This window comes from Homo sapiens, chromosome 5 (assembly GCF_000001405.40).
Source record: "Homo sapiens chromosome 5, GRCh38.p14 Primary Assembly".
Lineage (NCBI taxonomy): Eukaryota > Metazoa > Chordata > Mammalia > Primates > Hominidae > Homo > Homo sapiens.
In genome coordinates this window covers 166874257-166897635 of record NC_000005.10, presented here as the reverse complement: position 1 = coordinate 166897635, position 23379 = coordinate 166874257, and the positions used below count along the sequence as shown (strand labels likewise).

Genomic DNA, 23379 nt, shown 5'->3' with positions numbered 1-23379 from the left:
TGTCTTTAAAACACACACACACAGATTCAGAAAAAATTGAGACCGAATACCTTAGCCATGAATTAGATGAAGGGATTCCTAAAAAGAAAGGTTTTCAACCATTAAAATAGAATATTCCTCAAAGTTCTCTACCATTTTCTCAGAAATAATGTGTTTAGGTGAACTAAAAGGCTATAGTAAATACATGACTAATTTTGCACTAACACCCTGTGCTAATCCATTTTAAAAAATGAAAAAAAGAGGCAAAAATCAAGGAACAGCAGGGAAAAAGTACTATCTTGAGGGCATACGGAGCAGAAACACGGAAATGATGTTCAGAGTTAATGGGCCTTTTTGTGTCTCTTTTCACATGGAGCTACAAGCGGTTCTAGTTAAAGTTAATTAAAGTTAGTGCCCTGCTTCTGCAAACAAAACTGGCTCAAGAATCATCCCAAATTTGAGTTGCTGATTACATATTAAATATCATGTTACAGCCAAGGTAAGTACACTGTGGTTATAAACGGTACAAAGACAGAAGGTGAGAAGGTGGAAGTTAAATATACATCATTGTCCTACATAGAAAAGTGTCATGTTCTCCTGTAGGCTGAGGCGTCACAATAGCCTTGTGACCTTGGGCGGGTCACTTCCCTTGTCTGTTTCTCAGTTTGCACATTTGTAAAATAGTGACAGGTATAGTACTTCTCCCACAAAGTTATTGTGAAAGCTACATGAGTTAGTGAACTCAAAATACTGCCTAGCAGGTGGTAAGCATCATATATATCATATATATGTAAACCATAATCATTATTCTTTTTTTTTTTTTTTTTTTGAGATGGAGTCTCACTCTGTCACTCAGGCTGGAATGCAGTGGCGGGATCTTGGCTCACTGCAACCTCTGCCTCCTGGGTTCAAGGGATTCTCCTGCCTCAGCCTCCCAAGTAGCTGGGATTATAGGCACCCATCACCACACCTGGCTAATTTTTGTATTTTTAGTAGAGATGGGGTTTCACCATGTTGGCCAGGCTGATCTCAAACTCCTGACCTAAGGTGATCTGCCCGCCTTGGCCTCCCAAAGTGCTGGGATTACAGGAGTGAGCCAGCACACCTGGCCCGTAATCATTATTCTTATGAGTAATTTTGAGTCTGTCCTTTCAGAGGGACACTTTAATATAGAATTTGGCTTGCAGTCTTAGAGATTTCATTTTTCCATTGTCTTCTTAAAGTTTTTATTTTTTTATATATGAGGAAAAATAATTTTGTTATAATTCTATCTAATAGCATACACATGCACACAAACACCTACACAGACACACATACAGGCAGCATTGTGTTGCAGTTAAGGTTGACGACTAGTTGCAGTTAAGTAAAGCAAACGTGGACTCTACCAGTTTCTACCTCTGTAGGTTTGTTACCTTGGGAAACTAGCCTAACATTCTAAGCTCGAGGTTTCTTTTCTTTTTCTTTCTTTTTTTTTTTTCTTTGAAGACGGAGTCTCACTCTGTTGCCTAGGCTGGAGTGCAGTGGCGCGATCTTGGCTCACTGCAACCTCTGCCTCCCAGGTTCAAGCGATTCTCTGGCCTCAGCCTCCCAAGTAGCTAGGATTATAGGCATGTGCCACCACGCACGGCTAATTTTTTTGTATTTTTCGTAGAGATGGGGTTTCATCATGTTGGTCAGGCTGGTCTCGAATTTCTGACCTCAAATGATACACTCACCTCAGCCTCCCAAAGTGCCAGGATTACAAGTGTGAGCCACCTCGAGTGGCCTCTGGGTTTCTTTTTCTATCAAATGAAGATAAAAATAAAATACTCATACAGTAGTTGTGAAGATTAAAGAATATAATGGTTGTAAAATCTTAACATAGTATCTGGCACCTGAGAAAATAATGATAGCATTTTCTACTTTTCCTCTTTTAATTATGACAAGGAAGACGATGATGTATATGAAAAGAAGAAACATCAAGAAAGGCATATTCTTGAACATTCATGGTGGTTGTCTCTGGGGGTGAGATAATGAGTCTTTTTTTTCTCTTTTTTATCCCTACCTTTCTTGTTTCTCTGCATTGCTCATTTTTCTACGGTGAACATGGTGGGGATAAGGCATAAAAGTCTGTTAGAAGCCAAGTGTTACAGTTCAGAGGAAAGCGAGCCTATTTCCAGCTGTGGGTGATTAACTGAAAGTTACTAGATAGGTAGGATTTCTCTAGGTGGAAATGGAGGGAGATGATTGCAGATAAAGGGGATGGGGCAAAGTTTCAAAGCAGAAACACTGTCTGTAACACAGGAAAGTAAGCAGGCCTGATGCGCTGCACTTGAGGGTCCGTAGAGGGATAAAAGATGAGGTTGAAGAATTGCATAAGAGATTTAAAAACTCAAGATTTATTCTTTAGGTAGTAAATGGCCACCTAAGTGGTTGAGAAATGGGACTATGGAGTCCCAAATTAAACAGTGCTTACCTTGTAAAGTAGCATGTAAGGCAGAAATCAAAGATAGGTGAAATTACCCACAAAAATCATTTACATCTCTCATAATCTACAGAATGGGGAAGATGTATCTCATGTGATTGTTATATATACAAACCTGCAGAATAATTTTTTTTTTGAGACAGAATCTCTCTCTGCTGCCCAGGCTGGAGCGCAGTGGCATGATCTCAGCTCACTGCAACCTCCACCTCCTGGGTTCAAATGATTCTCCTGCCTCAGCCTCCCGAGTAGCTGGGATTACAGGCGCATGTCACCACGCCCGGCTAATTTTTGTATTTTTAGTAGAGACGGTGTTTTATCATATTGGCCAGGCTGGTCTCAAACTCCTGACCTCAGGTGATCCACCTGCCTCGGCCTCCCAAAGTGCTGGGATTACAAAAATACAATAGCGCCTGTAGTCCCAGCTACTCCGGAGGCTGAGGCAAGAGAATCACCTGAACCTGGGAGGCAGAGGTTGCAGTGAGCTGAGATGGAGCCACTGCACTCCAGCCTGGGTGACAGGGTGAGACTCTGTCTCAAAAAAATAAAAATAAAAAAGAAAGAAAGAAAAAGAAACCAAGGCCAGAGATTGAATGATAGAACTCATGACTGAATAAATGATTGCATGATAGTCTACAGGATGGCTTAGGGACTTAGGAAAATAATGGGATCCACTGACATATATTGGAAAATGTAGTCGAGCATTGCTTTGGCTGGTGACTGGCCTGAGATGTTTTGACGTGTAGAAGTTGAAGTAATTGCCTATGTCAAATTTCAGTTATCCAGAAAAACAGCAACTCTCAAGAGGGAGGCCAGGCTGAAAAATAAAGGTTTCGGATGTAGATGGAATTGACTAGGTGGGCAAATACTTTCAGAGTTAGAGTTTAATTTTCCTGAAGCCTTAATTTATGGTAATCTTGCTTGTGTAGTACTCTTAACTAGCTAATTTTAGCTAACGTTATTGAGGATGTCATCTGCAGAGGGCTCATATAAGGAATAAGGAATTGTGTCTTATCTCCACCATTAAATACTCCATGAAGTTAAGTAAACTCTTGGTCCAAATTAAAAAAAAAAAAAAAAAAAGAAATAGTGACATTCTATATAAAATAGTAAAAACAATAGCTAAGAGCTATGACGAATGTACAGTGTGTTAGCTGCTGAATAAAAATATTTATAGAAGGTGTTATGGGTTGATTTGTGTCCTCCCGAATTCATATGTTGAAGTCCTAACTCTCAGTACCTATAATGTGATTGTGTTAGGAAATAGGGCCTTTAAAGAGATGATGACCGTAAAATAAGTGTACTAGGGTGGAGCCTCCTTCAGTAGGACCATGTCCTTATAAGTACAGGAGATTAGGATACAGATACACAGTCAGCGGGACTACCATGTGAAGACACTGGGAAAAGGTAGTTCTCTGCAAGCCAAAGAGAGAGGGAGGCCTCAGGAGAAAGCAAACCTGTCCACATGTTGATCTTGGACTTTTGGCCTCTGGAACAGTGAGAGAATAAATTTCTATTGTTTAAGGCACCCAGCTTAAACACTTTATCATGGCAGCCCTAGAAGACTAATACAAACTACTTAATCCTTCAACTATATCACAAAGCAGATATAATTATCCTGGTGTGTTTGTTTGTTTCTTCGTTTTTGAGACAGACTCTTGCTCTGTCGCCAGGCTGGAATGCAATGGTGCGCTCTCGGCTCACTGCAACCTTCGCCTCCCGGATTCAGGTGATTCTCCCACCTCAGCCTTCCGAGTAGCTGGGACTACAGGCGCGTGCCACCACACCCAGCTAATTTTTGTATTTTTAGTACAGACAGGGTTTCACCATGTTGGCCAGGCTGGTTTCAATCTCTTGACCTCATGAATCACCTGCCTCAGCCTCCCAAAGTGCTGGGATTACAGGCGTGAGCCACTGCACCCGACCCATTATCCCGATTTTTAAGGAAAGAGGAACTTAAGACTGAGGAAAGTGAATTAATGTATCTGAAGATCACATGCTGGAAAAAGGTGAAACCAGGATTCAAACTCATGTCTACCTCCAAAGCTCAACTCTGTACACCATAGGCAACTGCTGCCCTAATTTTCTTGATACTATTAAGATGTTTACTAGATCCACTTATTATACTTTTAATTTTTAAAATATTAGTCAAAAGTTAAGGCCGGGAGCGGTGGCTCACGTTTGTAATCCCAGCACTTTGGGAGGCCAAGGCAGGCAGATCATGAGGTCAGGAGATTGAGACCATCCTGGCTAACACGATGAAACCCTGTCTCTACTAAACATACCAAAAATTAGCTGGGCATGGTGGCATGTGCCTGTTGTCCCAGCCACTCCGGAGGCTGAGGCAGGAGAATGGTGTGAACCCGGGAGGAGGAGCTTGCAGTGAGCCGAGGTCGCGCCATTGCACTCCAGCCTGAGTGACAGAGGGCGACACCGTCTCAAAAAAAAAAAAAAAAAAAAAAAAAGTTAAAACATCTCTGTACAAAGCAATTACTCAGAAGAATATGGGTAGGGGTTGTGGGTTGCAAACACCACTCGAATAGCAGCGAATAAACCTGAATCTTATTTTGAGATATAGTTTCTTTTAGATTGAAGTACTTTTTAAAAATAAATATAAGCTCTGGACAAGCAGAGTATAAGATTGGAAACTCTTCCAATACTATCCGCTTACTAATAAACATGTGCAGAGAGTGGAACAGACCAGAGGAGTTATAATTCTTTGACTGTACCTGGTAGCAAAGATTTGTGATATCATCATGTAAAAAAATTGAAGAATAAAACCTCCCAAGAAGCTGATGTAGGAAAACAGGGCAAACCAAAAGATAGGTGGAGAGCAGGCCATGAAGAACTGTTAACAACATAGAGCCACAAAAGCAAGAAAGAAAATAAAAATGACCGGGAGAGAATGTTCAAGAGTCTTCAGAGCCAAAAAATAAAGATGTTAATCTCATGATAAACATAACATGTTGAGGGAGAAAAAGCACGTAAAATCTCATTCCTCAGAACTGAAATGATTCAGTTGGGAGAAATAAATTTTTAAAGATTCAAAAGAAAAAGGACCACAGAAATAAAGTGAAAGGCAATCCAATACAACAATAAATGACAAAGTGGGCAGAGAAATATGGTATTGACAAGAGAGATTGATTGTCTACATCAGAATGAGAGAAACTGAGTGAGGGGAGATAGTTCCTTGTTTCCAAACGAGTGGTTTGACGGAAGGGAGAAAGCAACTAAGGAAAAAAAAATCAAATAAAAATCAAGTGAAAAGTGAAAATTATTAGCAATTGTGTGTTACTTGGGGAAAATGCTATCACAATTAGGATTTAAGTCGGGCGGAAATACATAAAGAGATACCATTAGATTGTCAAAGAACTCCAACTGTACAATCAATAAATATAGGTGTTTAGTATATTCACATATTTCAGTGATTGAAGGTAATCAATAAACTGTAAAGACCCTTTCCAAAAGAATAAAGTTAAGATGTTTTCATTAACACCAGCATTAGTTTTGCTAAACTCAGTTCCGAGTGGTGGCGAGAGCACTAAGTCACACTGAGACAGTGAGTTAAATCTCATATCTCATCTGCTTTTAGAGATTGTCGAGGTGGCCAGGTTATTTAACTTTCATAACTTTCGTGTTTTTATTTATTATTTATTTATTTATTTATTTATTTATTTATTTATTTATTTATTTTTTGAGACGGAGTCTCACTCTGTCGCCCAGGCTGGAGTGAACTGGCGCGATTTGGGTTCAATGCAAGCTCCGCCTCCCGGATTCACGCCATTCTCCTGCCTCGGCCTCCCGAGTAGCTGGGACTACAGGCTAATTTTTTTAGATTTTTAGTAGAGACCGAGTTTCACCGTGTTAGCTAGGATGGTCTCCATCTCCTGACCTCGTGATCCGCCCGCCTCGGCCTTCCGAAGTGCTGGGATTACAGGCGTGAGCCACCGCGCCCGGCCTCGTTTTCCTTTTTATTAAACAGGAATAAACCATCAGCCCTGCCTACTTCATGTTCCGGGGGAAAAAATGAGGCTTTTTATGAAATGCTGAGCCTATTTTTGCTTTGGGAAGGCAATCTGGTAAAATGGAATGAAGCAAATCTGGTGCCCACCGTCTGCGTGACATGGAAGACTGACTTATCCCCTCTGATCCTCAGTTTCTTTATCTATAAAGTGAGAGTAATAATATCACAGCTGAGCATGGTGGCTCACACCTATAATCCTGCACTTTTAGAGGCCGAGGAGGGAAGACTGCTTGAGCTCAGGAGTTCAAGACCAGCCTTGGTAATGTAGTGAGACCCGCCACATCTGTACAAACATTTTTTAAAAAACATTAGCCAGGCATGGTGGCATATAGCTATAGTCCCAGCTACTTAGGAGGCTGAGGTTGAAGGATCACCTGAGCCTGGGAAGTGGAGGCTGCAGTGAGCTGTAATTGTGCCATTGCACTTCAGCCTGGGTGACAAAGCAAGACCCTATCTCAAAATAATAATGATAAAAATACACATTTCACAAAGAGGTGTGAGAATTAAATGAGCTACATAGTAACATAGTAGGCATTCATTAAAATGAATTATCCATCATGATTAAAAATCATTATCTGGCCAGGTGTGGTGGCTCACGCCTATAATCTGAGCACTTTGGGAGGCCGAGGTGGGCAGATCACGAGGTCAAGAGATTGAGACGATCCTGGCCAACACGGTGAAACTCTGTTTCTACTAAAAATACGAAAATTAGCTGGGCATGGTGGTGCATGCCTGTAATCCCAGCTGCTTGGGATTACAAGCTTGGGCTGAGGCAGGAGAATCGCTTGAACCAGGGAGTTGGAGGTTGCAGTGAGCTGAGATCACGCCACTGCACTCCAGCCTGCCGACAGAGCAAAACTCTGTCTCAAAAAAAAAAAAAAAAATCATTATCTATCACATAGTAGGTGTCCATTAAAAATGATCCCCTTTTCCTTAATTTCAACTATCACGATGACCATCATCATTCTCATTCTGTGGCTAAAGCTGACATGTTGCTATTTTTCAAAATGCCTGTGTAGTAATTGTAGGTCTTGTTTCTGATTATGTAGCATTTAAGCCTGGTTTCTAGTTTTCAAAACAATATTCTGTGAGTTCCTCAATATCTTTTTAAAATAAATATTTCTTGCTGTTTTTCAGGGGGGTTGTTTGAAATAGCCAGGGAGACTTTCTGTTGATGACAAGTAAAAACTTTGATCTACACCCAGCTCTGCTATTAAACAAACTAGGTTTCTTCCAATCTTACCTTTGTTGCATGTATTCATTTATTCATTTACAGATCATTTAAAAGTTTCCACTAGGAATTAGACTTTCACTCATTCCCGTGGAGATTTCACCCAGTCCCGTGCTTTGGATACTCTCTCTACACTAATGACATCATATTTATATCCCAAGCTCCAAACTCTCCCATGGACTCTAGAAGGCTCCGCTATCTAATAGCCAACCTAGGATCTCAGGTAGGGGGTCTAATAGGCATCTCAAATGTGTCATGCCCCAGACTCAACATTAGATCTTTCCCCCAAAACATATTGTGTTGCAGTTGATGGTGCCTCCATCTTTCCACTTTCTTAGGCCAAAAACCTCAGGTCGCCCCTGACTTGCCTAGCACACTCATGCCCCACATCAAACACCATGTTGTGAGCTTTACTTTCAGAATATATCCAGAAGCTCAATACTTTTTTTTTTTTTTTTGAGGTGGAGTCTCGTTCTGACGCCAGGCTGGAGTGCAGTGGCACAATCTCGGCTCACTGAAACCTCTGCCTCCCCAGTTCAAGTGATTCTTCTGCCTCAGCCTCCCGAGTAGCTGGGATTACAGGTGCGCACCACCACACCCAGCTAAATTGTGTATTTTTTAGTAGAGACGGGGTTTCACCATGTTGGCCTCGATCTGCTGACCTCGTGATCCACCCGCCTCAGCCTCCCAAAGTGCTGGGATTACAGGCGTGAGCCACCGCCCCCAGCCCAGCTCACTACATCCTACCACCTTCACTGTTTCTCCACCTCATTTAAGCTGAATGTGATTGTGTATGTCTGAATTCTTTCAATACTTTCCAAACTTCCCTCCTCCTGGTTCTGTTTTTGACCTCTTTAAGTGTCTTCTCAATGTGGTAATGTGATCATCTTACAAAGAGGTAAATCAAGTCATGTTGTCCTTTTGTTCGAACTCTTCATTGGCTTCTCATTCCCCAAAGCCAGGGTCATATATTGGCCTATAAGGGCCTAGAAGGTCTTCTTCCCTCTCTTCCACCCACTGCTTGTCTGATTGCATACCCTACTACTCTCCTCTAATTCATTCCTCCCCAGCCACACTGGCTTCCTTGCTATACTCAGACATGCCAGGTTCATTTCCATCTCATACCTACAAACTGGCTGTGCCCTCCGCCTGGGATGCTTTTCGCTTTGATCTATCCTCAGAGCTCCCCACTTTGCCTCCCTCCGCCAGGTCTTGGTTCTACTGTCACTTTCTCAGCAAGGACTTCCCTAGCCACTCTCTCCTTACCCCTTCCCTAGTGCCTTTCTCCATCTAACATTCTATACATTTTTACATTGTTTTTATCTTATGATTTGCCTTTCTCCACTACAGTATTGTTTGCTTTTAGTTTTTTTTTTTTTTTTAGTGTTCAGCATATGTTGTGCACTCAATAAATATTTGTTGCATAGATGTCATGAATGTACCAAGCTTTGGAAATACAATAATTAATAATATAAACAAATTCCTAGTCCTCATGGAGCTTAAGTTCGAGGAGCGGGGATATAGTAAACTAGTGATTACATTACAGGGATGCTCGTCTCCAACTCTGATGGTGATAGAAAGTCTTCCTAGCAGTAAATGTATTGGCAAGTCACTCAATCACTCTGAATTTCAGTTTCCTTGCCTGGAAACAGGAGACAACCAGTTTACCTCAAAGGATGACTATAAGAGTTAAAGGACCTGAAGGATATAACATACCTGCTAGAGGAATCAGTGCTTCAAAGATACACAAAATGTGGGCCAGGCGTGGTCACTCACGCCTGTAATCCCAGCACTTTGGGAGGCCGAGGCAGGTGTATGATGAGGTCAGGCGTTCAAGACCAGCCTGGTCAACATAGTGAAACCCCATCTCTACTAAAAATACAAAAAATTAGCCAGGCATGGTGGTGGACACCTGTAATCCCAGCTATTAGGGAGGCTGAGTTAGGAGAATCGCTGAACCTGGAAGGTGGAGGTTGCAGTGAGCTGAGATGGCGCCATTGCACTCCAACCTGGGCAACAGTGTGAGACTCAGTTTCAAAAAAAAATACACAAAATGTGTTCAGCATCCTCGCCATTCTGCCTGAAGTGCTTTGATTATGGGTCTTCCTCTAATCCTATCTGTGAAATGTTCCACCTTTCACTCTTGATGTTAAATTTTGAACGCCGTAAGCAGGAGAATTCTGTGGACTACTGCAGGTCCAAGTAAACAATCACACTTCGTGGAATCTGTTGAAGAATCCCTGCTTGTATATTTCTACTAATCACCTGATTACTGAAAATGAACCAAAATTAAAGCAAAATGGCCTAGTGGTTTACAATTTGACTGTCTCACAAGTGTTATTAAAAAGATATTACTAGGATCCTCTCACCTCTTGAAAACTCTCAATTGCAGTGGGCTTTAAAAAACACCTTCTGGGGCACTGTTAGGGGAGGCCAGTGGCCATCTAACTTTTGGAATTACTATTAGCTTTGCACTCAGATGATATTGAAATCCAGGAAGCCCAGCTGAGATGTGGTTATTGCTGATACCTAGATATGTTTTTCGCCTCTGCCATATATATATCCTCAGAAAAGGTTAGAGCTAAGTTATCCATGCTTCCTGATGCCACAAGTGTTATTTGCACACATACACACACACACACACATCCTTTTAGTAAATGGAATACATACACGTGCTATAAATATCTACCTATTATAACTGGATTATGATATATAAGTACAATAATAAATGTATAAATATGTGATGTCTTGACCAAGTAAGTCATTTTGTGCTAGCTTAAACATATATAATTGTAAATTTAAGTGCTCTATATATACTCTATGTATACTTATATAGTATATATTGACTGTTTATGATCAAAATATGAATATGTACCTTTAGTCATCCTATAAATACCTGCTTAGATTTTTTTATGAGACATTAAACATTTTATTATGAGACATAAAAAATGTATTATGACACAATTTCCCATGGAAAACTTTCCAAGAATAAAAACAGTGAAGTTGCAAGTTAGTATTCCCTCCAAATGCTTCCTTACTGGCCACCTTCTCCTTCTACAATTCACCTTTACCCTTAAGGAGTCAACTCAGGACTGTTTCTGTTTCTCAAACAGCATTAAGGTAATCTTACTTCAATTTGAAAAAGAGTTACCGAGTGTTTTTATGAATAGCCAATAAATTGAGAATAAAAAGAATAGGAAACATCTGTCCCCGAGGAAGTTGATCAACTAGGATACCATAAACTATTATTCACACCAGGTAAAATTAAAAGCCGTAAGAAATATGCATGATTATGAAGAACAAAATGTGAAAACATAGTCAAAATTCAGTGAGGCATATATGCAACATATTGATGTAATTTAATTAGGAAAAATTTTCATTTAATTATATTTATGTATACTTTTTTTTTTTTTTTGAGATGGAGTCTCACACTGTCACCCAGGCTGGAGTGCAGTGCAGTGGCGTGATCTCTGCTCACTGCAGCCTCCGCCTCCTGGGTTCAAGTGATTCTCGTGCATCAGCCTCTTGAGTACGTGGGACTACAGGCCTGTGCCACCATGCCCAGCTTTTTTTTTTTTTTTTTTTTGTATTTTTAGTAGAGATGAGATTTCACCATGTTAGCCAGGATGGTCTCGATCTCTTGACCTTGTGATCCACCTGCCTCGGCCTCCCAAAGTGCTGGGATTACAGGTGTGAGCCACCATGCCCAGCCTCATGTATGCTTTTTAAATGTCTTGTGGACCAAAGCATTACACTCAGACCTACGCATCTAATTTTTGGAAAATTCTAGAGTCAACTATAGCATTGTAATGTTAGAATCCAATGTGGGACACTTTGAAATTGAGGAAATGAAGAAGAGTAGAACTCTAGACCCTTCTTGAGGTAAAACAGATGGTATCCACTCACAGAGCAGGAAAAACTTAAGCTTTTTCTTCACATGTTTGACAAGTGACAGAAACACTGAATGAAATCCTATGAAACAATTTTCACTTGGGGTCTCTTTTTACTTCTAGAAGTAGAGACTATTTTGTTAATGCTTCATTTTTAGATCTATGAGGCTAATTTTCAGAAATTTCATTCTCTCACAATAGCCCAATATATGTTTAGGGTCATAGTCTTCTGCAAAAAGTATTATGTAGAAAACAAAATCCATTAAGGTGAGGAAACTAACAAAGTCTCATGCTTGGGGACAAGAATAATTTATTTTGTGGATGTGGGACAATGAGTTATTTGGTCCTTCTTCACAAATGAGATAACTGTCAAATCCCATCATATCCCACTACATGAATTATATATAACAACATTTGGTGAAATATGAAATTCTAAAAATACACTGAAATGCTAGAGTCATCTTAATGGTTTATTATGATAGGTGTTCCTAGTTTTGAAATATCTTCTTTCATAGAAGACAAATGGGGGCGACATTATTTTAGAAAGTCCACATCTTTTAAAAAGATGGATTAAAAGCTCTTTGAGACAGCTGTGCTGTTTTATTAGAAGAACAACATTTTCTTTCTAAATAGTTCTTGAGGGCAATTTCATGGTCTAATCAGGGGGTGCTTTGGGCTCCATTCAAAACTGAAGAAAAGGAAATGTTGCATAGGAGAAGATGGAGACCTAATTGTTTTTGTTGTGAATGTCAGCATGTGAATAAGGACAATTTTAAAAGTCAGACTTAAAGCAATGATGCTATATTTTCATATAAAAAAAATCCTTTCTGTAGCACTGCTTCATTGTGATTAAGACCTGGGCTTTGGAGTCAGAGAAAACTAGATTTGAGCACCCTCTCTGTTCTGTAGTAGCATGTGACCTTGGTCAAGTTCATCATACTCTTCTAACATCTGTGTCTTGTTTTGTGAAATGGGGAAAGTAATTTGTAACTCTCTTGGTAGTTGTAAGAATTAAATGAGATAATACAAGCAATGGACTTACCAAAGCGACTGTGGCTTGGAGAGGTGAAAAAATCTGCTCTTTTGGAGACTATATAGCTTAGTAGATAAGGCTCACGAGCTCTGATATTAGAGCCTCAAGATCTACTCTCTTACTTTCTGTGTAATTGTGACAGATTGACTCTATCTCTCTGAACATCAGTTGATACATCTAAAAAATAGAGATGATATAAGAAGCCACCTCTAAAATTGCTTAATACAGTGTTTGGCACATAAACATAGTAACAGCTAACAGTGACGGGAATAGATGTAACCTAAAATAATAATACAATTAATATATCCATAATATAATATTCACAACTTCCAAGCTTTTTTTCTATCTTAAGGGTCTTTTGGTTTTGTTCCTGGTCTATTTTCATATTGCTGAAGTGCCTCTGGGGAAAAATCCTAAATATATAACAGATACACAAGGGCACTGTGGAACATGGGCACTGCACCTGTCAGCATGTCACTCATAATCACTTTTCTCTGCTCAAATGTGCACACCTGGGGAAGGTTGAAAACTCAGTCTCCTACATTATCCCCCATTACGGTTGGGTAGGGAACATCTGGCCAATTAATTTTCAGTAGTCTAGGAGGTTGGATCACCAATTACAGCATTCAAGGGTTCTTATTTTCATTACTTTCCTATCGTCGGCACACACTACACTCGGGTAGCTGCTTGCTGTGAGAGCTTGCATTGATAACATTCTAGAGAAGGATATAAAAGACCACAAATCATACAAGGCAGAACTGTAATTGGATATGATATTCTCTTCAGGTTTCTCTTACAAATATCCAAAGTGCCTATACGTAAGCCAAGTTACCCAATTTATGGATTTAAATATTATGCCCAAGACAGAAATGCATTTCCACCAGAAAACACTAGGATTAACCATAAGGTCAGGCAATAGTTTTTCAAAACATTCTCACTCTTCTTTTTCCTAATAAAGAAAACAAATTCAGTTTTCAAGATAAGTATTAAGAATCCCCGAAATTTATCCTGAAGAGGGTGGATCATTCTTAAATAATAAATTATCCCTTCCTACTACAAACAAAGAATGACTCTCTATTGGAATAATACTAAGTGTCTTGGTTTGGGCCCATCATGAAGCAGAAATTTAGGGGTAGGAGATGTTGATGTAACCTGCTTCTCTCTTAGGACGCTGTATTCCATGTAACTACCATTTGCCTAATAAATACAGGTCTCAGACAGTTCTATGGTGAACTCAGCAGGGTCCAAGCTGTTATTTAAGGCTTTTTAAAGAATAAATATCAAATAATCTGAAAAGGCATCTTAAAGGGTGAAAGTGCAGCCATTTTTTTTTTACGGATCCTAGCTGCAGGGAGTCGAATGAGAATTTTCTTCCTCTGGAACACAGACTTCCACTGTGGCTGATGGAGAATCTGCACTTTAACAGTGCTTGTGTGCACAAGGCTTCACCATGCCCATTCAACACCTGTAATCACACTACAACAGGCAGGAAGCATGGGTGCTGGAATAGCGGACAAAAATTTGATAACTACAATTTTGTAACGACGTATATACCTGCATATACATGTGTAGGTTATATGTTATATGCATGTGTTTATACACATATATATAGCTTTAGAGTAGATCAAAATGTGCATCAGCTTTCTGAAATTTTTTACTTGAACGATTTCTCCCCCACCAACTATCGGTAGGACTGAAGAATGTTACCTCCTTTGTCAATGAATGGTTGTATGAATCAAGCTAGACCAGTCAGATCTGGGAATTGGGGATTTCCATCTAAATAACAGTAGGAAATAAAATGGTAAGTGCTGAGTCATTCTGATGCTGATGCCTCAGGGGATTCTCTACTGGCTTCTGTTTTCTAGATTTCAGAGCTGCGTTAATTCTTACCTTTTTGTGAGGCCTGATTACTCAGCCATTCATGTGATTGTGAGGATAGCCAATATGTTTTATTCTTTCGGTTTTCTGCTTTCCTTAGTCAGTATTTTTCTCTATTGCATGCAACCAATGGTTTTCTGATTCATGATGTATATACCTTCATATGGTTCCCGCAAGCACTCATTTTGCAAAACTGGACACAGAATATCCACCTTCTCTTCCCCCGACAAGAAAGCAGACTATTTACTTTGGATGAAACTTTTAAAACGTCTTCGTGAGTTAAAATCACCATTTAGGTACATTAATGAAGCACTCCCCCTTTAAGATCAATAACAGTGATTTTAATATGTATTTTTTTAACTTTTCTGCAGACTAAAATTTTTTTAAAAATTAACTTCGTTGGTTTTGAAACATGACTCTTTTCTCAGCACTTGGACAGAACCTGACTATATGCAAATAGGTTAGTTTCTGTATTTGGACGTTGGTAGCAATATTTTTCCAAGTTCTAAATCATCCACCTAGCATGTTAAATTATAGTGCCTCTGTTCTTGTCTGACAGATTCCAACCTTTTGATTCTCTGCCTTCTTTCTTTGCTACAGTAAATTGATCCTTTAAAACATCCAGGTGCAAATGAATTAATGGTCCTTCTATTGTGAGTGAGAGTGATGGAGTTTCCTCCTCCCTCCTTCTCCACACTGAAGTCCTTTCCCCCTCTGAGAAACCCACATATCAATTAAACTCACCTGCTAATTAAAAGCTTGTTTGGAAAAATCCTTGCTAGTTAGAAGCAAAGGGAAGTGTAAAGGTGTCTAAAAATAGAGGCTTTGAATGTCAATTACTTCCTTCCTCCTCAGTTCCTGGTTCCTTCGGTTGAATTGGCTGGAAAGAGCTGGGGAGGGGGGAGAAAAGAAAGAAAAAATAGTAAGTATCTTTTCACGTACATTTCCCTGAGAGTATATCATTGGTTTAGTAACTTCAGCTCTTTGTCAGCAACATCAGGATACATAGTTTTTATTCATGAGAGGAAACACCATTTCTCACCCCTTCTTATACAGCCGCACTGATTTTCTGTATAAAGGCGGTAGCAACCACAGTTCTCACTCGTTGACTGTCAACAATCAAGCCAGAGCTTTTGCGAGCGGGAATATCAGAGGAATGAAAGTGAATGTGGAAATGATGCCCTGTTCTCGTTTTTATAATGACACCGCCTGCTCTTAGATCCTCAACCACTACTCATTCCTGTCTGCTTTTCCTGAGAAATAGGTCCTAAGGGCGGATTTATAACAATACTAGATTGTCTTCTCTTTCTTTTCTATCACAGACTTAAGAGCTATGTTGTTCTGAAGTAACATGCTAAGTATCAAACTATATAAAATAAAAGAGAGTCACAAAAATAGAACTCAGGAGACTGGGAAAGTCACAAATTATGCACAAAGCCCCCTTTTTAATATGCCAGATGATAAGAACAAATTAAATTACAATCTGCCTTGGAAAAATGACAGCTAATTTATTCATTTATTCATTCATTCAATGTGTTTTTATTAAGGGTCTCTTATTGGGTAGTCATTGGGTTAAGAGGTAGAGTTGGAACTGTCCCAACGAGTCCCAGCCCTCAGGGAGTTGATAGTCTATAAAAGAATTTGAGAATAAATAGAGAAATTACAATGGCATGTGATAGTGCTGGTAATAGGAAAAACACAAGCAACTAACCAGATATGGGAGGTCAAAAAAGATTTTTAGAGATAAAAGTTTAGTTGAGGTCTGAGAGTTGAAGACAAATTACCTAGGAGGGAGAATAAGAAGACAGAAAAGACATTCCAATGTTGAATGGGTACCATGAAACAGACCATGGTACTTTTGGGGAACTGTTCACAGTTCTCGTGACCTGGAGAACAGAGAGTGAAGGAAAAGGCCAGCAAAAGATCAAAATACAACAGCATTTTAAGCTGCCTTCTGCAATAATTGAAAAATAGTTTTATTTTTTCTTATAGGACGTATAGCTGAAAATGGAAAAGGACAAAGGTTATCCATTTCATGACTTTCTGTATGATGTGCAAAAACAAAATAGGGCATACTTAGGTGACTATGAAAATAAATTGTTTAGAAAAAAATTGTGGGTTTAACTGACTTCATATAATTTAAGTCCAAAATAGATATACACCATAGAGAATTAAATCCATATGCTTAAGGTATAATGCATGACAGAATAAAGATAATATAGTGATTAATATAGTAAAGCCCTAAAAAAAAAAAAAACAGTCTTTTTGGAAAAAAATGGTTTCCCAATATATTAATCAAAAATAGGACACAGCGTTTTTTTTTAAAGGAGATACATTCACAAAATAGAATATTGTGTATCAGTCAGATTAGAGCTAATATAATAATCTTGCTCAATTCGGTTTGAGAATTATTGAGTATCTACTATGTGTGAAGCATTTTACTAGGTTGTAGGGCTATCGCAATTGATATATAATGCTGACATGTTGTAAAGTTGAAATACTAGCAAGGACCGTAAATTTTTGTTTTGTTTTTGTTTTTTGAGATGGAGACTCGCTTTGTCACCCAGGCTGTAGTGCAGTGGTACGATCTCGCCTCACTGCAAACTCCACCTCCCAGATTCAAGCGATTCTCCTGCCTCAGCCTCCCGAGTGTCTGGGATTACAGGAGCTGGCCACTACACCCAGCTAATTTTTGTATTTTTAGTAGAGATGGGGTTTCACCATGTTGGCCAGGCTGGTCTCAAACCCCTAACCTCAGGTGATGTGCCCACTTCGGCCTCCCAAAGCTCTGGGATTACAGGTGTGAGCCACCAGGCACAGACAGATTTTATTTATTTATTTATTTGGAAACGGAGTCTCGCTTTGTCGCCAGGCTAGAGTGCAGTGGTGCGATCTGGCTAACTGCAACCTCTGCCTCCCAGGTTCAAGTGATTCTCCTGCCTCAGCTTCCTGAGTAGCTGGAACTAAAGGCGCCCACCACCACGCCCAGCTAATTTTTGTATTTTAGTAGAAACGGGGTTTCACCATGTTGTCCAGGCTAGTCTCGAACTACTGACCTCAAATGATCTGCCTGCTGCGGCCTCCCAAAGTGCTGGGATTACAGGCATGAGACACCACACCTGGCCCAGATTATTTTTTTAAAACCCTGAATAGCTGCTCAGTGTTACAGTATATTTATTTCCTTTATTCTTTAACCTAGAATTTAAGAAGAATTTTATTCTTCATAGCTGTATCCCTGGTGCCTAAAACAGTGCACGTCACAATGATTAATTGTAAATGTATCTTAATGAGTTAAATGTATAAGATGTATCTTAACAAGTAGAATCTGGATATGAGGGCTTAAGCTCTAGTTTCCAGGCAGCTCTATGGCTCACAGCACTCTTAATGTTTTTTCTGTGTCATGTTTTTGTTTGAGGCTTCCAGAAACTGTTCTAGCTGTGGCATCCAAAGTTCTTAGATAATTTATATAGCTCTGAATTAATCCTCCAAGTTGCAAATCGCCCTCCAATGACTTCTTATTGCAATTAAAATAAAGTCCAATTTTTTACCAAAACCTATCCCCATGCCTATATATACTTCCTCTCAACATTCATCTCACATTTTCTATGCTCTAGTTACATTGGCTTGCTTTCTGTTCTTCAACATACCAAACTTGTTTTTATTTGATGGCCTTTGCCCTTGTTTTCTCTGCCCAGAATGTTCTTCCCCCAGAATTTTGCATGGCTCATTCTTTATCATAAAGGTGTCAGATTGAATGTCACATCTTCAATGAGGCTTTCTCTAACCACCCTTTTTAAAATGGCCACATTCACCCATCAATTTTATTCTATCTTGTCACCTTGCTTTATATTTCTCATAGCAGTTCATATTATTTGAAATTTTCCTATTGTTTGTGTCTCTGCCTCCACCCGCCCGACTAGCCTGTAAGTTCCATATATAAAAGAAAATTATATTGTTCATCACTAAAGGCGTGCCTTGTATACTCCCCACCGCACCGCCACCCCTAATGAGACTGTAAACAGGTGCAGCGCCCATATTCCACAGTGCCCTTGTGTATCTGTTACGTATTTTGGATTTTTCCCCTTAGGCATTTCAGAAGTATGAAAATAGACAAGGAATAAAACCAAAAGACCCTTGAAATAGAAAAAAAGGATGTAAGTTGTACTATTGTATTATGTCTGTATTAATTGTATTATTACTTGAGGTTATAACTGTGCCTGTCATAGTTAGCTCTTGTTATAATCCTGTGGTGGCACAGTACTATGAACTCTATGTATCGTGATTAACCTTCCCAAAGTTAGAGGTGTGTGTTTATATCACCTATACTCTTTTTTTTTTTTTTTTTTTTGAGACGGAGTCTCGCTCTGTCGCCCAGGCCGGAGTGCAGCCGCACGATCACAGCTTACTGCAAACTCCGCCTCCCGGGTTCACGCCGTTCTCCTGCCTCAGCCTCCCGACTAGCTGGGACTACAGGTGCCCGCCATCGCGCCCGGCTAATTTTTTGTATTTTTAGTAGAGACGGGGTTTCACTGTGTTAGCCAGGATGGTCTCGATCTCCTGACCTCGTGATCTGCCCGCCTTGACCTCCAAAGTGCTGGGATTACTGGTGTGAGCCACCGCGCCAGGCCTATCACCTCTGTTTTTAGATGAGTGTCATTGTGGTTTTCATTTGCATTTTCCTGATGGTTAATGATGTTGAGCATTTGTTCATATACTTGTAGCCATTTGTATGTCTTCCTTTAGAAATAACTATTCAGGTTCTTTCCTTGTTTTTGAATTGGGTTATTTATTTTCTTGCTATTGTGTTGAGTTTCGTATATATTTTGGATGTTAACTTCTTATTAGATGTATGGTTTGCGCATATTTTCTCCCATTCCATAGGTTGCCTCTTCACCCTGTTGTTTTCTTTGCTGCTCAGAGGCTTTTTAGTTTGGTGCAGTCCCGTTTGTCTCTTTTCGCTTTTGTTGCCCATGCTTTCGAGGTCATATAAAAAAAAAAAAATCATTGTCAAAAACAAGGTTAAGAAGCGCTCCGCCTCCCGGGTTCACGCCATTCTCCTGCCTCAGCCTCCCGAATAGCTGGGACTGCAGGCGCCCACCACTACGCCCGGCTATTTTTTTTTTTGTATTTTTAGTAGAGGGGGGGTTTCACCGTGTTAGCCAGGATGTTCTCGATCTCCCGACATCGTGATCCGCTCGCCTCGGCCTCCCAAAGTGCTGGGATTACAGGCGTGAGCCACCGTGCCCGGCTTTTCCAAAAGTTTTATAGTTTCAGATCTTATGTTTAAATGTTTAATACTTTGAGTTGATTTTTGTATATGGCATGAGATATGCGTTCAATTTTATTCTTCGGTATGTGGATGTCCACTTTTCCCGATATAATTTATTGAAGAGACTGTCCTTTCTTCATTGTGTGTTCTTGGCCCCTGTGTCAAATATTAATTGACTATAAATGAGTCAATTTATTTCTGTCCTCTCTATTCTGTTCCATTGGTCTATATCTTTATTTTTATGGTACTGCTATGCCGTTTTGACATAATCTTTTATGTATAGAAAATGCTAATGACTCCACCCAAAAAGCTGTTAGAACTAATAAATGAATTCAATAATGTTTTGCATGGCACAAAATCAACATACGGCATCAGTAGCATTTTTATATATTAACAACAAACTTTCCAAAAAAGAAATCAAGAAAACAATCTCATATGCAATTTTATGCCTATATAAATAAATTTTATATAAATGAAGAAAACTTCAGAATAAATTCAACCAAAGAAGTAAAAGATTCATGTACTCACTGATGAAAGAAATGGAAGAAAACAACAAATAATTGGGAAGATATTCCATGTTTATGAATATGCATAAATAATATTTTTGAAACGTTCGTACTACCCAAAGTAATGTACAGATTTAATGTATTCCCTATAAAATTTTCAATGACATTTTCACAGAAATAGAAAAATGAATTATAAAATTTTTGTGGAACCACAGAAGGCCCCAAACAGCCAAAACAATCTTGAGCAAAAAGAACAAAGCTGGAGGCATCACACAAACTCCTATCAAAATATAACTGTACCATGAAGCTGTAGTAATCTGAACAGCATGGTATTGGCTCACTTAAGTTGAGAAAAACACACACATTGCTGTCTATAACAGAAAATTAAGGGCAATAGTTATAATATTACAACCTATCCCATTTTTACTGGTATAGCTATAAATTGTAAGGCTGCCATTGAATAGATTTATTATTAAAAGGTATTTAAAAATTCATAAACTTTGTTCTCCTGCTCTCAAATAAAAGTGTTTACTTTTAAAATGAGTTTATTCTGAAAAACACTTATGAACTAACAAATGACCCAATGGGCACAAGGCTATAAAGGATGAAAACTCCACTGTAATTTTCCTCAATATTTTAAACTTCAAGTAGCTTTAAAAAAAATGAGCATAAAATGCCTTTATTCTTATTGGCCATAAAGAAAAATATAGTGTGAGAAGTGTCATTCTGTAAGACCCGTGAGTTACTCTCTTATTTTTTTAAATAAGTACTAAAGCCTAGATTGTACCAGTTACTAGATAATTGTAGGACAACCCTGACACAGAAGAAGACAAAATATATAATTGTTTGTTTATATAGCATCATGGTTTGGGGCAAACAGTATTCTGATATGGACAAAAAGAAAGACACCCAAACCACTTTATCAAATTTAATCATATAACATTTCAAGCAATATATTATGGTGACTATAGCCTCCTACAAGTGGATTCATATGAGCAAATTTTATATTAATCAGTTGTTTATTTTGTTTTCATGGAGAAAGTACAATTTAGGTTAGAGAGATAGCAGAGGGCACTAAAGATATAGATGTTGGAGGAAGAAACCCTTAGGCTGATCATTCATCCTCTAACTATCTATGAGTTCTCTGGTCGACTTACTACAATTTTGTGACACAGTTTCTTCATGAAACTGTGGAGTCATGAGCTTAAATGGAATAATGCACATGTTTAGCATAGTGTCTGACATAGTGAAAGCTCACTAAGTGTTAGTTGTTATTATTATCCTATTATTACTTTTAGAAAAAATTTTAATAAAGTGACATTGTAAAACATGTAAAATTAAACCTTAACTTGAATGACTGTAATTGACCTTTGAAGTTTAGATCTAAAAACACAGTCTTTGTTATATTCTCTTTTTGTGAATATTTTCTCTAATTTCCAGATTATGCATTTGCCTGCTCCATGTCCCAGCTTTTAAATATGCTCACATTTCATGATGACTTCCCAATTCTTTTTTGTGCAATAGTAAAAAGGCAAGCTTCATTTTATTTTTTTATTTTCTGTGCAGAGGCTATACATCCAAAATTTCTCTAGTATTCACACAGTGTTCTCTCATATCTCAAGGCTCTCTTAGGAGTTTCCTAACATGTTTTTCATCTATTTATTAGATATGTAAGTAATTTTTGTGGATGTCATCATTTTCTTTTTATAGCAAATTTCAGGTTTATGTAAGTTGTATTCTAGTGTGTTAACTTATATTTGGTGGTATTCCATAGTTTTAGGAAGCAATCAATAAAGGCAGATTTAGTTATAAAACTTATATATGATATTGTTTTCACCTTTTCTTCTACCTGTTTCATTCATGTGGTATAGCTCTAAAAGGGCCACATCAGGCTATGTGCAATGCTTAAAAATGAAATGCAAAACTTCTTTCATCCCTTGCTATGTTAATTCTTTATTCTCTTTGAAAAACAGAATTCACCTTTTTTCTCTTGTATAGTAAGAACATTTCTGTTTTTGCAGAAATCTGTAATGTTTTCTTACCCTTGAAGCCTGTATATGGAAGACCAACAAGAGCAGGCTTTATTTTGTTTTGTTATTTGTACATTATTCAGTATAAAACTTTTTTTTAATCCACCATCATGTAGAGACCCAAAGATCTGAATTATGTGCTAACTACTCTGGTTAATTAGAGTGCTATTTAATTTTTGTAATTCAGCTTGAGCCTGAATAGTGCAAAATCCATTTGACCTGTATCTTATAGTCATCTGCTTACCACAAGTCTCAGACCTTTTAATGATGAGCTGCTCTGACTGGTAATCACCTTTGGGCCTCCTGTTCCTTCTCTTTACAAATTAAAAAGAAGCCAGCAAAAGCATCCTGGTGCAAGGTGCACAGGCAATGCAGTGAGGTTGTAAGAGTAGAAAACTAACAGCAATTCTGAATACTGATGACTAGAAAATGCAACAGACCCATCTCCAGCCCTCCTCTACTCTTTATAGACATAGAATTAAGAAAAAAAAAAAACACACGCACAAAGAAGAGACACATTGAGCTGAGGGGAGAGCAGCAGCAGGGACTGTGCTAAAGATGTAAATGTGGGCTGGGCATGGTTCTTGTAATCCCAGCACTTTGGGAGGCCGAGGTGGGCAGATCACTTTAGGTCAGAAGTTCGATGAACATCCTTAGGAGAGACGGTGAAACCCTGTCTGTACTAAAAATACAAAAATTAGCCAGGCGTGGTGGCAGGCGCCTGTAATCCAAGCTACTCAGGAGGCTGAGGCACAAGAATCGCTTGAACCAGAGAGGCAGAAGTTGTAGTGAGCCATGATCATGCCACTGCACTCCAGCCTGGGCAACAGAGCAAGAGTCCATCTCAAACAAAAGAAAGAAAAGAAAAGAAAGAGGGAGGGAGGAAGGAAGGAAGGAAAGAAAGAATATTTTGTGATTCAGGCAGAGTTGCAAGGTACTGCAGATTGGAACATCAGGAAAGAAGTGTTCTCTGAAGAGATGAGATTAAAACAAAGCAGTTATTCCTAAGAACAAGCCCATCACAAAAGCAGGAATGAGGTTGATATATTCAAGGAAAGGAAAGCTGAGGTGATAGAAG

General features: G+C 38.9%; 1 long non-coding RNA gene across 1 annotated transcript in view, besides 1 other annotated feature; it reads left to right on the top strand.

Moving 5' to 3' along the window:
- The first annotated feature begins 1910 nt into the window (after positions 1–1910).
- Positions 1911–23379, top strand: part of LOC105377706 (uncharacterized) — a 50105-nt gene continuing 28636 nt past the window's right edge. Inside the window, exon 1 of the long non-coding RNA XR_941182.1 lies at positions 1911–1983. This is a non-coding gene — a long non-coding RNA (uncharacterized LOC105377706). The remainder of the gene's footprint in view (positions 1984–23379) is intronic.
- Positions 13942–15141: an enhancer, noted in NCBI's record as "MED14-independent group 3 enhancer chr5:166309500-166310699 (GRCh37/hg19 assembly coordinates)". NCBI's record gives its function as "activates an origin of replication core promoter dependent on BRD2, BRD4, P300/CBP and CDK7 cofactors, and independent of MED14, by STARR-seq in HCT116 cells {active_cell/tissue: HCT116}" and the evidence as "EXISTENCE:reporter gene assay evidence [ECO:0000049][PMID:35650434]".